The sequence below is a fragment of the Homo sapiens genome, chromosome 8 (genome assembly GCF_000001405.40).
Source record: "Homo sapiens chromosome 8, GRCh38.p14 Primary Assembly".
NCBI lineage: Eukaryota > Metazoa > Chordata > Mammalia > Primates > Hominidae > Homo > Homo sapiens.
This window is the reverse complement of record NC_000008.11, coordinates 80,214,191-80,227,781: the sequence shown is the minus strand read 5'-3', so window position 1 is coordinate 80,227,781 and position 13,591 is coordinate 80,214,191. Positions and strand designations below refer to the sequence as shown.

The window sequence follows — 13,591 nt, the reverse complement described above, 5'->3', positions numbered from 1 at the left end:
TAGGCCTCCCAAAATGTTGGGATTACAGGCGTAAGCCACTGCACCTGGCCTTTGAGTTGCTTTAAGAAAGCTCTCTATAGGTCAGAATTGTAAAAGCTACTTTTTTTTTTTTTTTTCAGCCACGGAGTCTTGCTCTGTTGCCTGGGCTGGAGTGCAGTGGCATGATCTCGGCTCAGTGCAACCTCCACTTCCCGGGTTCAAGCGATTCTCCTGCCTCATCCTCCCAAGTAGCCGGGATTACAGGTACGCACCACCATGCCTGGCTAATTTTTGTATTCTTAGTAGAGACGGGGTTTTCCCATGTTGGCCAGGCTGGTCTCGAACTCCTGACCTCAAGTGATCCACCTGCCTCGGCCTCCCAAAATGCTGGGACTACTTTGGGAGGTGTGAGCCACCATGCCCAGTCAAAAGCTATCATTTGATGTAGCAGTTGCTAAGGTAGCCTTAATGACCAATTAAACATGTGAAATTATGGAACTCATCCATGTGTAAATTTTCAATCCAGTGGTTCAGAAACAGACATATCATTATCTTCATGTTTTAAAATGAAACTTAAATTTTAGTCACATGGAGGGGTCAAAGATGTCAAGTCCCATTTATTACTAGAATGTCTGTTTTCATTTGAGGTCTTGTTGAAAATACTCTTCTTTCGCCAGGGGTGGTGGGATTACACCTGTAATCCCAGCACTTTGGGAGGCCAAGGCGGGTGGATCACCTGAGGCCGGGAGTTCAAAACCAGCCTGACCAACATGGAGAAACCCCGTCTCTACTAAAAATACAAAACTAGCCGGGCGTGGTGGCACGTGCCTGTAATCCCAGCTACTCGGGAGGCTGAGGCAGGAGAATCACTTGAACCCAGGAGGCAGAGGTTGTGGTGAGCCAAGATTGTGCCATTGCACTCCAGTCTGGGCAACAAGAGCGAAACTCTGTCTCAAAAGAAAAGGAAAGAAAAGAAAATACTCTTCTTTCTACCTCCTAAGTTTCAAATCAATAAAGGAGAAGACATCAAAGCCTGTCAGACAGGGACAAATCATCCATCCTGTGATTTGCAAAACTGAATTGAAGATATTAGCTTGAATATTAGGCCATAATCTGGTCTACTCCAAGTCTAGATCATGGGATGATTTACGTAGGGGAGAATGTGCATACTCACTTACCCAGAATCACTCCTTCGAGTGCATTGATATGCTTTGAGCCTCCCATCATCTTCTGGGGAGAATCAAAGTGGAGAGAAAAAAAGGGGAATGCTCTATCCCAATTACTTTTTTTTTTTTTTGGTAGAGATGGGGTCTCACTATATTGCCCAGGCTGTTTGTTGTTGTTGTTGTTGTTGTTGTTGTTGTTGAGACAGAGTTTACTCTGTCATCCAGGCTGGAGTGCAGTGGCATAATCTTACTCACCACAACCTCTGCTTCCCAGGTTCAAGCAATTCTCCTACCTCAGCCTCCCAAGTAGCTGGGACTACAGGCCCCCGCCACCACACCTGGCTAAGTTTTGTATTTTTAGTAGAGACGGTTTCACCACATTGGCTAGGCTGGTCTCGAACTCCTGACCTCAAGTGATTCACTTGCCTCAGCCTCCCAAAGCGCTGGAATTACAGGCGTAAGCCACTGTGCCTGGCCTCAGGCTGGTTTTGAACTCCTGGCCTTAAGCAATCCTCCCAATTTGGCCTCCCAAAGTGCTGAGATTAGAGGTGTCAGCCACTGTGCCCAGCCCCGTTTACATTTCTAAAATAAAGGTATTAAAATTGAATATATGTTAATGTACCATATAAACAGAAAAATACACAAATCATAAATAAGTTTGATAAATTTTACAAAATAAGCATACCCACATAACCAGCACCCAGATTTAAAAAAGGAGAAGACAATATCTAATATCCCAGAAGTCCCACTGATGTCAATTAATTCACAAGCAATTTAATTGAATGCTAAAACAAAGTTCATTTTTATAAAGGAGTATAACAAAACCCAGCATATAACAATGCAAATTGAGAATATCTAGGAACCAATGAAACATTATTATTCATGGAAAGCAGAATATATAACACATAACCTGTAGATAAATCAATGGAAAGAGACCCAGAAATGGTAATTAAGATGGAATTACCTTTAAAACAGCTATTATTTACATGTTCAAGAACGTAAAGAAAAACGTTAACAAAATGATGACAGAAATTGAAGATATTTTAAAATAGAATTTGTAGACATGAAAATACACTATGTAATAGTAAAAATATACTGGATGAAATGAGTAGACACTGCAGAGAAAAAGAATTTTGCGTGAACTGAATGCATAACAACAGAAACCATCCAAAATGAAACATGGCAGCCAGGCGCAGTGGCTCACGCCTGTAATCTCAGCACTTTGGGAAGCCGAGGTGGTGGATCACTTGAGGCCAGGAGTTCAAGACCAGACTGGCCAACATGGTGAAACCCCATCTCTACTACAAATACAAAAATTAGCCAGGCGTGGTGATGGGCACCTGTAATCCTGGCTACTAAGGAAGGTGAGGCAGGAGAATCATTTGAACCCAGGAAGTGGAGGTTACAGTGAGCTGAGATTGCACCACTGCACTCCAGCCTGGGCGACAGAGCAAGACTCCTTCTCAAAAAAAGAAAAAAAAAGAAAGAAACATGGCAAAAAAAGAGACTGGAAAAAAAAAAAAACCCAAAAATCAAACTTATTTATTTGTTTATCAGGGATCTATGAGACAATATCAAACTGCCTAACATACATGGAGTTGGAGTTCCAGAAAAATAAGGAGAAAAGGGAAAAAACATTATTTGAAAAACAATTCCTGAAATTTCCTAAATTTAATGAAACCATAAACCAACAGATTAAAAAACCTCAAAAAACTCCAAGCAGAAGAAATATAAAGAAAATGGCACTGATGTGCATGTTCATCAGATTTCTGAAAACCAGTGATAAAGACAAAGTCCTAAAGCAACCAGAATTGAGGGAAGGGTGGAGCAAGATTATGTATGGAAGAACAAAGGTAAGAATGAATGACAGAAAACTTCTCCTTTTTTTTTTGACAGTCTTGCTCTGTCGCCCAGGCTGGAGTGCAGTGGTGCTATGTTGGCTCACTGCAACCCCTGTCTTCCGGGTTCAAGTGATTCTCCTGCCTCAGCCTTCTGAATAACTGGGATTACAGGCATGAGCCACCATGCCCAGCTAATTTTTGTATTTTTAGTAGAGATGGGGTTTCACTATGATAGCCAGGCTGGTCTTGAACTCTGACCTCAGGTGATCCACCACCTCGACCTCCCAAAGTGCTGGGATTACGGGCATGAGCCACCATGTCCAGCCCGACAGAAGACTTCTTGATGAAGCTGGAGCTGGGTTCAGTGGCTTACATCTGTAATCACAGCACTTTGGAAGCCAAGGCAGGAAGATCACTTGAGGCCAGCCTGGGCAACATAATGAGACCTCATCTCTTTAAAAAAAAAATGAAGGTGGGATAAAAATATTTTTAGATTCAAAATAATCTGATATACTTTATTGATATTAATATTAGACTAACTCTATAAAAAATGTTATAAAGAAGTTTTCAGGTGAAAAGGAAAATGATACCAAGGTGAAATGAGAATTGACACAAAGGAATAAAGTAAATATTGGAAAAAGAAAATATTTTGCTGAATATAAATTTTTTTCTCATTTTTAGTATTCTTTAAAAGATAATTTTAAAATATAAATTAGTGACAAGGTATTGTGAAGCTCATAAAGTGTGGAGAAATGAAATGTATAACAATCACGGTAAAAAATGATAGGAACAAGGACGTGGGAGGATACTCATGTACAATTCTTTTTTTGTTTGTTTTTTTTTTAAGTTGGAGTTTGACTGTGTTGCTCAGGCTGGAGTGCAATGGCATGATCTTGGCTCACTGCAACCTCCGCCTCCAGGGTTCAACGTATTCTCCTCCCTCAGCCTCCCAAGTAGCTGGGATTACAGGTGTGCACCACCATGCCTGGCTAATTTTTTTTTTTTTTTTTTGGATGGGGTTTTGCTCTTGTTGCCCAGGCTGAAGTGCAATGGCACAATCTTGGTTCAACGCAACCTCCGCCTCCTGGATTCAAGGGATTCTCCTGCCTCAGCCTCCTGAGTAGCTAGGATTACAGGCATGCACCACCACGCCCAGCTAATTTTGTATTTTTAGTAAAGATGCGGTTTATCCATGTTGGTCAGGCTGGTCTTGAACTCCTGACCTCAGGTGATTCACCCACCTTGGCCTCCCAAAGTGTTGGGATTACAGGTGTGAGCCACTGTAACTGGCCTAATTTTTTTATTTTTAGTGGAGATGGGGTTTCACCATGTTGGCCAGGCTGGTCTCAAACTCATGACCTCAGGTGATCTGCCCACCTGGGCCTCCTAAAGTGCTGGGATTACAGTCATGAGCCACTGCTCCTGGCATTACGATTCTTTTCTTTTCTTTTCTTTGAGGTGGAGTTTCACTCTTGTCGCCCAGGCTGGAGTGTAATGGCACAATCTCGGCTCACTGCAACCTCCACCTCCTGGGTTCAAGCGATTCTCCTGCCTCAGCCTCCCAAGTAGCTGGGATTACAGGCACCTGCCACCATGCCTGGCTAATTTTTTTGTTGTTGTCGTTTCCCCATATTGGCCAGGCTGGTCTCGAACTCCTGACCTCAGGTGATCCACCCGCCTTGGCCTCCCAAGGAGTTGGGATTACAGGCGTGAGCCACCGCACCCAGCCACAATTCTTATACTACAGGTGAAGTGGTGTAATATTATCTGAAGATAGACTGTTAACAAATTAATAGTGCATATTATAAACCTAGAGCAACTACTAAGAAGTAAAATTTAGAGATACAGCTAATGAGTCAATAGTACAAATAAGATGGAATTACAAAAATTTTCAGCTGGATGTGGTGGCTCACGCCTGTAATCCCAGCACTTTGGGAGGCTGAGGCAGGGAGATCACTTGAAGCCAGGAGTTCAAGACCAGCCTGGCCAACATGGCAAAACGCCATCTCTAGAAAAAACACAAAAAATTAACTGGGCATGGTGGTGCATGCCTGTAATCCCAGCTACTTAGAAGGCCAAGGCACAAGAATCGCTTGAACCTGAGAGGTGGAGGCTGCAGTGAACCGAGATCAGGCCACTGCACTCTAGCCAGGGTGGCAGAGTGAGACTCTGTCACAGAAAAAAAAAAAAAAATTTGTCTACCCAAAAGAAGTGACAAAAAAGGAATAGATAGAAAGAGTAGCTGGGTGCCATGGCTCACATCTATTATAATCCCAGCATTTTGGGAGGCTGAGGCGGGCAGATCACCTGAGCTCGGGAGTTTGAGACCAGCTTGGCCAACATGGTGAAACCCCATCTCTACTGAAAATACAAAAATTATCCAGGCATGGTGGTAGATGCCTGTAATCCCAGCTACTCTGGAGGCTGAGGCAGGAGAATCGCTTGAACCCGGGAGGCGGAGGTTGCTGTGAGTCGAGATCAGACCACTGAACTCCAGCCTGATGACACAGTGAGACTCCATCTCAAAAAAAAAAAAAAAAAAAAAAAAGAAGAAGACAAACAGTAAATGGTAGATTTAGGCCAGGTGCAGTGGCTCACACCTGTAATCCCAGCACTTTGGGAGACCGAGGCAGGCAGATCACCTGAGGTCGGGAGTTCGAGACCAGCCTGACCAACATGGAGAAATCCTGTCTCTACTAAAAAAATACAAAATTAGCCGGACATGGTGGCACATGCCTGCAATCCCAGCTGCATGGGAGCTGAGGGAGGAGAATCGCTTGAACCCGGGAGGTGGAGATTGTGGTGAGCCAAAATCGTGCCATTGCACTCCAGCCTGGGCAACGAGAGCAAAGCTCCATCTCAAAAAAAAAAAAAAAAAAATGGTATATTTAGCATGAACACTTTATAACTACATTAAATGTAATGTTCTAAAAACACAAACTAAAAGGGAGAAATTATATATTAATATATATTAAGCTAGCACTAACCAAAATAAATCTAGAAGTGGCTCTATTAATATTAGACAAAAGGAGCTTTATTTTAAAAAAAATTTTTTAAGAGAGAGGGTCTTACTTTGTCACCCAGGCTGGAGTGCAGTGGCATGAGCTCAGCTCACTGCAGCCTCGATCTGCTGGGCTCAAGTGATCCTCCCACCTCAGCCTCCTGAGTAGCTGGGACTACAGGCATGTACCACCATGCCCAGCTAATATTTTGTATTGTTTTGTAGAGATGGGGTTTTGTCATATTGTCCAGGCTGGTCTTGAACTCCTGAGCTCAAGCAATCTGTCCACGTTGGCCTCCCAAAGTGCTAGGATTACAGGCGTGAGTCACGGCACTAGTGGAAATAAGCTTTCTTTTTAAAAATTTTCTTAATTTTTTAAATCGCTAATTTATTTATTTATTCTTTGAGACAGAGTCTCGTTCTGTCACCCAGGCTGGAGTGCAGTGGTATGATTTCAGCTTACTACAACCCCCACCTCCAGGGTTCAAGTGATTCTTGTGCCTCAGCCACCTCAGCAGCTGGGATTACAGATGCATACCACCACGCCCAGCTAATTTTTGTATTTTCAGTAGAGACAGGGTTTCACCATGTTGGCCAGGCTGGTCTCAAACTCCTGACCTCAGGTGATCTGCCCACTGTGGCCTCCCAAAGTGCTAGGATTACAGGCGTGAGCCACCACGCCAGGCCTGAAATAAGCTTTCAAACAAGAAATATTACAGAAATAAAAGGAAGATTTCATAACGATAAAATTCAATTCCCCAAGAAGATTTTAAAATCTTAAATGTGTATGTACCCAATAACAAAACTTTGAAAAACATAGAGCAAAACTGTTAGAACTTAAAGGAGAAATAGAAAAAGCCACATTTAGAGTTAGAAATTTCAATACTCAATTTTCAGTAATCAATAGAAAGTGGGCCAGGAGTGGGGTCTCACGCTTGTAATCTCAGCACTATGTGAGGCTGAGGCAGGTGGATCGCTTGAGCCCAAGATTTTGAGACCAGCCTGGGCAACATGAAGAAACCTGTCTCTACTAAAAATACAAAAAAATTAGCCAGGCGTGGTGGTGCATGCCCATCGTCCCAGCTACCCAGGAGGCTGAGGTGGGAGGAATGCCTGAGCCTGGAAGGTTGAGGCTGCAGTGAGTCCTGATTGTGCCACTGCACTCCAGCTGGACAACAGAGTGGAATCGTGTCTCAAAAAAGAACGAAAACAGGCTGGGCGCGGTGGCTCACGCCTGTAATCCCAGCACTCTGGGAGGCCGAGGCGGGTAGATTATGAGGTCAGGAATTCGAGACAAGCCTGGCCAATATGGTGAAATCCCATCTCTACTAAAAATACAAAAATTAGCTGGGTGTGGCAGCGTGCGCCTGTAATCCCAGCTCCTCGGGAAGCTGAGGCAGGAGAATCGCTTGAACCCAGGAGGCGGAGGTTGCAGTGAGCCGAGATCGCGCCACCTGCACTCCAGCCTGGGCGACAAGAGTGAAACTCCATTAAAAAAAAAAAAGAACAAAAACAAAAATAAACAAACAAAAAAGAAAGTGGATGAAAAATCAGAAAGCATGTAGAAGACTTCGAAAACTCTGTCAAGGCTGGGCGCAGTGGCTCATGCCTGTAATCTCAGCACTTTGGGAGGCCGAGGCAGGTGGATCATGAGGTCAGGAGTTCGAGACCAGCCTGGCCAACATGGTGAAACCCCATCTCTACTAAAGATACAAAAAATTAGCCGGGCGTGGTGGTGCATGCCTGTAATCCCAGCTACTCAGGAGGCTGAGGCAGGAGAATCGCTTGAACCTGTGAGGTGGAGGTTGCAGTGAGCCAAGATCACTCCATTGCACTCCAGCTTGGGTGACAGGGTGAGACTCCTGTCAAAAACAAAGAAAGAAAGAAACAAAAACAAAACCTCTGTCAGTCACTCAGTTTGCATTTATAGAATTTTTCACCCAACAATAACATAATACATATTCTTTTCATGTATACATAAGATATTCACCAGGATAGAATATATTTTCAGCCATAAAACAAGTATCAATAAATTAAAAGAATTGAAATTATAGTATGATTTCAGATCAAAAGATAATTGTATTTAAAGAAACCAAAAAAATTATCCAGAAAACCCCCAAATACTTGGAAGTTAAGCAACACCTTTTTAAATATCCCAAAAAGAGGCCAGGCACGGTGGCTCACGCCTATAATCCCAGCACTTTGGGAGGCCGAGGTAGTTGGATCACTTGAAGTCAGGAGTTCAAGACCAGCCTGACCAATATGGTGAAACCCTGTCTCTACTAATACAAAAATTAGCCGGGTGTCATGGTGGGCACCTGTAATCCCAGCTGCTCAGGAGGCTGAGGCATGAGAATCACTTGAACCTAGGAGGTGGAGGTTGCAGTGAGCCCAGATTGCACCACTGCACTCCAGCCTGGGTGACAAAGCGAGACTCTGTCTCAAAAAAAAAAAAAAAAAAAGAAGAACCCAAGGAGAAATCATAAGGGAAATTGGAAAATATTTTAAGCTGAATGAAAATGAAAATACAACATATCAAAATTTGTGAGATAAAGCTAATGCAGTGATTAGAGGTAAATTTTTTTTTTTTTTTTTTTGAGACTGGAGTCTTGCTCTGTCACCCAGGCTGGAGTGCAGTGGCACAATCTGGGCTCACTGCAAGCTCCGCCTCCCGGGTTCACGCCATTCTCCTGCCTTAGCCTCCCGACTTGCTGGGACTACAGGCGCCCGCCATCATGCCCGGCTAATTTTTTATATTTTTAGTAGAGGCGGGGTTTCACCATGTTGGCCAGGATGGTCTCAATCTCCTGACCTCGTGATCCGCCCGCCTCGGCCTCCCAAAGTGCTGGGATTACAGGCGTGAGCCAACGTGCCCGGCCGTTAAATTATTACTTTCCTCCTCTACAGATTTTCCTGTTATGGACATTTCACGTAAATGAAATCATGTATGTGGTCTTTTGTGACTAGCCTCTCAGCATTCAGCAGAATGTTTTCAAGGCTCATTCATACTGTAGCATGTATAAGTGCTTCATTTCTTTTTATGGCTGCTACTGTTTGAATGTGTTCCCCAAAAAGCATGTTTTGGAAACTTAATCTCCAATACAACAGTGTGGGGAGGTGGGGCCTAATGGGAGGTGTTTGGGTCATGAGGGCTCCACCCTCATGAATTGATTAATGATAATTACAAAAGGGCTTATGCCTGCAAGTGCAGTCTCTTGCTCTCTCATGCTGTCTTGCCCTTCTGCCTTTTACCAGGGGATGACACAGCACAAAGGCCCTTGCCAGATGTGAGCCCCTTGATATTGGATTTCCCAGTCTTCAGAACTGTAAGAAATGAATTTATTTTCTTTGTAAATTACCGAATCTGTGGTATTCTGTTTAGCAACACAAAGCAAACTAAGACAATGTCCAAACAATATTCCATTGTATGAATATACACAAAGTTGTTTATCCATGTATTAGTTGATGAACAATTTGGGTTGTTTCCACCCTTTGGCTATTATGAATATTGCTGGTATAAATATTCATGTACAAGTTTTTGTGTGGACACATGTTTTCATTTCTCTAGGAGTGGAATTTCTGGATCATATGGTAACTCTATGTTAAAGTTTTATTTTATTTTATTTTATTTTATTTTATTTTATTTTATTTTATTTTATTTATTTATTTTGAGACTAAGTCTCCCTCTGTCGCCCAGGTTGGAGTGCAATGGCATGATCTGAGCTCACTGCAACCTCCGCCTCCCAAGTTCAAGCAATTCTCCTGCCTCAGCCTCCCAAGTAGCTGGGATTACAGGCATGTGCCACCATGTCTGTCTGATTTTTGTATTTTTAGTAGAGACAGGGTTTCACCATTTTGACCAGGCTGGTCTCGAACTCCTGACCTCAGTTGATCCGCCCACCTCAGCCTCCCAAAGTGCTGGGATTATAGGTGTGAGCTACTACGCCTGGCCTATGTTAAACTTTTTGAGGAACTATTAGATTATTTTCCAAAGTAGTGTCACCACTTAACATTCTCACCAGCAATATATGAGGGTTCTGATTCCTCCACATCCTCACCAACACTTGTTATTATTAATCTTTTTGATTATAGCCTTCCTGGTGTGTGTGTAATTATATTTCATTGTGGTTTTGATTTGTATTCCCTAATGTGTAATGACATTAAGCATCTTTTAATGTGTTTATTGGCCATTTTGATATCTTCTTTGGAAAAATGTCTATTAAGATCTTTTGCATTTGTAAATTATCCAACCCATTTGTAAACTGTGTTGTCTTTTTATTATTGCTATATGAATTTAAAAAAAAAAAGTTCTGCTGGGTGTGGTGGCTCACGCCTGTAATCCCAGAACTTTGGGAGACCTAGGTGGGAAGATCACTTGAAGTCAGGAGTTTGAGAACAGCCTGGCCAACATGGCGAAACCCTGTCTTTACTGAAAATACAAAAAATTAGCCGGGTGTGGTGGCACATGCCAGTAATCCTAGCTACTTGGGAGGCTGAGGCGTGAGAATCACATGAACCTTGGAGGCAGAGCTTGCAGTGAGTCGAGATCACACCACTGCACTCCAGCCTGGGTGACAGAGCAAGACTCTGTCTCAAAAAAAAAAAAAAAAAAAAAAAAGTGTTCTGCAAGTCCCTTATCAGATATATGATTTGCAAAAATATTCTCCCATTCTCTGAGTCTTCAGTTTCTTGATAGTGTTTTTTGAGAACAAAATATTTTCATTTTGATGAAGTCCTATTTATCTGTTTTTTTCTTTTGTTGCTTATGTTTTTGGTGTCATATCTGAGAAAATATTGCCAAATCCAAGGTCGTGAAGATTTAGCCATATGTTTTCTTGTAAGAGTTTTATAGTTTTAGTTTTTTTACTTTTTATTTTTATTTATTTTTTAAACTTTTATTTTAGGTTCGGGGATACATGTGAAGGTTTGTTACATAGGTGAATTCGTGTCATGGGGGTTTGTTGTACAGATTATTTCATCACCCAGGTATTAAGCCCAGGACCCAATGGTTATTTTTCTGCTCCTCTCCCTCCTCCCACCCTCCACCCTCAGGTAGACCCCAGTGTCTGTTGTTTCCTTCTTTGTGTTTATGAGTTCTCATCATTTAGCTCCCACTTATAAGTGAGAAGATGAGTTAATTGCTTTTTAGTACCTGTGTTAGTTTGCCAAGGATAATAGCCTCCAGCTCCATCCATGTTCTTGCAAAATACATGATCTCTTTCTTTTTATTTTTTTTCTTTTTCTTTTTGAGATGGAGTCTCGCTCTGTCGCCCAAGCTGGAGTGCAGCGGTGCGATCTTGGCTCACTGCAACCTCCACCTCCCCAGTTCAAGTGATTCTCCTGCCTCAGCCTCCCGAGTATCTGGAACTACAGGCATGTGCCACCACGCTTGGCTAATTTTTTTTTTTTTTTTTTTTTTTGAGATAGAGTCTCACTCTGTCACCCAGGCTGGAGTGCAGTGGTGTGATCTCGGCTCACTGCAACCTCTGCCTCCTGGGTTCAAGTGATTCTCCTGCCTCAGCCTCCTGAGTAGCTGGGACTACAGGCATGTGCCACCGCACCCAGCTAATTTTTTATTTTTAGTACAGACAGGGTTTCACCATGTTGGCCAGGCTGGTCTTGAACTCCTGATCTTGTGATCCGCCTGCCTCAGCCTCCCAAAGTGTTGGAATTACAGACGTGAGCCACTGCACCTGGCCAATTTTTATATTTTTAGTAGAGATAGGGTTTCACCATGTTGACCAGGCTGGTCTTGAACTCCTGACCTCAAGTGATCTGCCCACCTCGGCCTCCCAAAGTGCTGGGATTACAAGTGTGAGCCGCCACCCACCATGCCCGGCTGATCTCGTTCCTTCTTTTTTTTTTTTTTTTTTTGAGACGGAGTCTTGCTCTGTCGCCCAGGCTGGAGGGCAATGGCGTGATCTCGGCTCACTGCAACCTCGGCCTCCCAGGTTCAAGCCATTCTCCTGCCTCAGCCTCCCAGGTAAGTGGGACTATAGGCATGCGCCACCATGCCCAGCTAATTTTTTTTTTTTTTTTTTTGTATTTTTAGTAGATATGGGGCTTCACCATGCTGGCCAGGCTGATTTCGAACTCCTGACCTCAAGTGATCCACCCACCTCGGCCTCCCAAAGTGTTGGGAGTACAGGCGTAAGCCACCTCTCCCAGCCCATCTCGTTCTATTTTATGGCTGCATATTTTTTATTTTTTTTAATTTATTTATTTTTGAGACGGAATCTCACTCTGTTGCCCAGGCTGGAGTGCAGTGGTGCAATCTTGGCTCACTGCAAACTTCACCTCCCAGGTTCATGCCATTCTCCTGCCTCAGCCTCCAGAGTAGCTGGGACTACAGGTGCCCGCCACCACGCCTGGATAATTTTTTGTATTTTTAGTGGAGATGGGGTTTCACCGTGTTAGCCAGGATGGTCTCGATCTCCTGACCTCATGATCTGCATGCCTCGGCCTCCCAAAGTGCTGGGATTACAGGCGTGAGCCACTGTGCCCGGCTTATTTTTAAATTTTTTATTAGAGACAAGGTCTCGCTTTGTTGACCAGGCTGGTCTTGAACCCCTGGCCTCAAGAGATCCTCCTGCCTCAGTCTTCCAAAGTACTGGGAGTGATTACAGGTGTGAGCCACTGTGCCCAGCCAATTTTATTTTTTACATTTAGGTCTTTGATCCATTTTGAGTTAATTTTTATATATCATGTGACATAGGAGTACAACTTCACTCTTTTGCGTCTGGGTATCTAGTTGTTCCAATCCCATTTATTAAAAACAATATTCTTTCCCCATTGTATAGTCTTTGCACTGTTGTTAAAAAATCAGTTGAGCACAGAATCATGGGTTTATTTCCAGAGTGTCAACTGTATTCCATCGAACTATATCCAGCCGTAGGATAAATGCACCTGGTAGCAATAACAAGCATAACCTTCCAATGAGCCTTTATAGCAGATGCACCTGAATGTGTGTTCTGAGCTAGGGAATTCAGGAATAGCCAACCTGGAGATTTGTTCCTTGTCTGTGAGTAACATCTGCATCTCCAGCCAGTCTCATGGAACATGGGCCATACAGGGCTTGAGGCCCTGAGTTATGGGTTAAATGAATGTTGCCAAGTGGATTGTTAAGGGTAGGGTATTAAGTGCAAATGCTGTATAAATTACAAAGTACTTTTTGCAAGTGGTTGCGGTTTTCTTGCCCAGCCCACTGCCACTGGATTCTCTCCCCTGTATGTAATCCCCCTAATAAAACCCCATGTCTCATTTGCTGGCTCTGGGACTCTTTGGCCTTTTGAACCTGGTGCCTTCCCAACTGAGGTTAATAGGGGTTCACCACAATATCATCCATATGTCAGTACCACACTGTCTTGATTATTGTTGCTTTGTAGTAGGTTTTAAAATTGAAGTGTGGGCCTTCCAACTTGGTTCTTCTTTTTCAAGATTGTTTCATAATTTATTTTTAATTCAAAGCATTTTTTTTAACCTTCTCTATACCAGGAAATATGTGAAGGGAACAAGACAAGAATGGTCAGTCAGGAAGGAGATGCACTTAAAAAAATTAACAATGTGGTGGAGATTCTGATAGGGGAACTATCGATGTTTATAAC

The 13,591-nt window shown here is 43.1% G+C and overlaps 1 long non-coding RNA gene across 3 annotated transcripts in view; it reads left to right on the top strand.

Moving 5' to 3' along the window:
* Positions 1-13,591, top strand: part of LOC105375920 (uncharacterized) — a 54,525-nt gene that overhangs the window by 4,397 nt on the left and 36,537 nt on the right. For all 3 annotated transcript variants that reach the window (XR_929095.3, XR_929092.3, XR_929093.3), the window contains exon 2: positions 9,243-9,313. This is a non-coding gene — a long non-coding RNA (uncharacterized LOC105375920). The remainder of the gene's footprint in view (positions 1-9,242; positions 9,314-13,591) is intronic.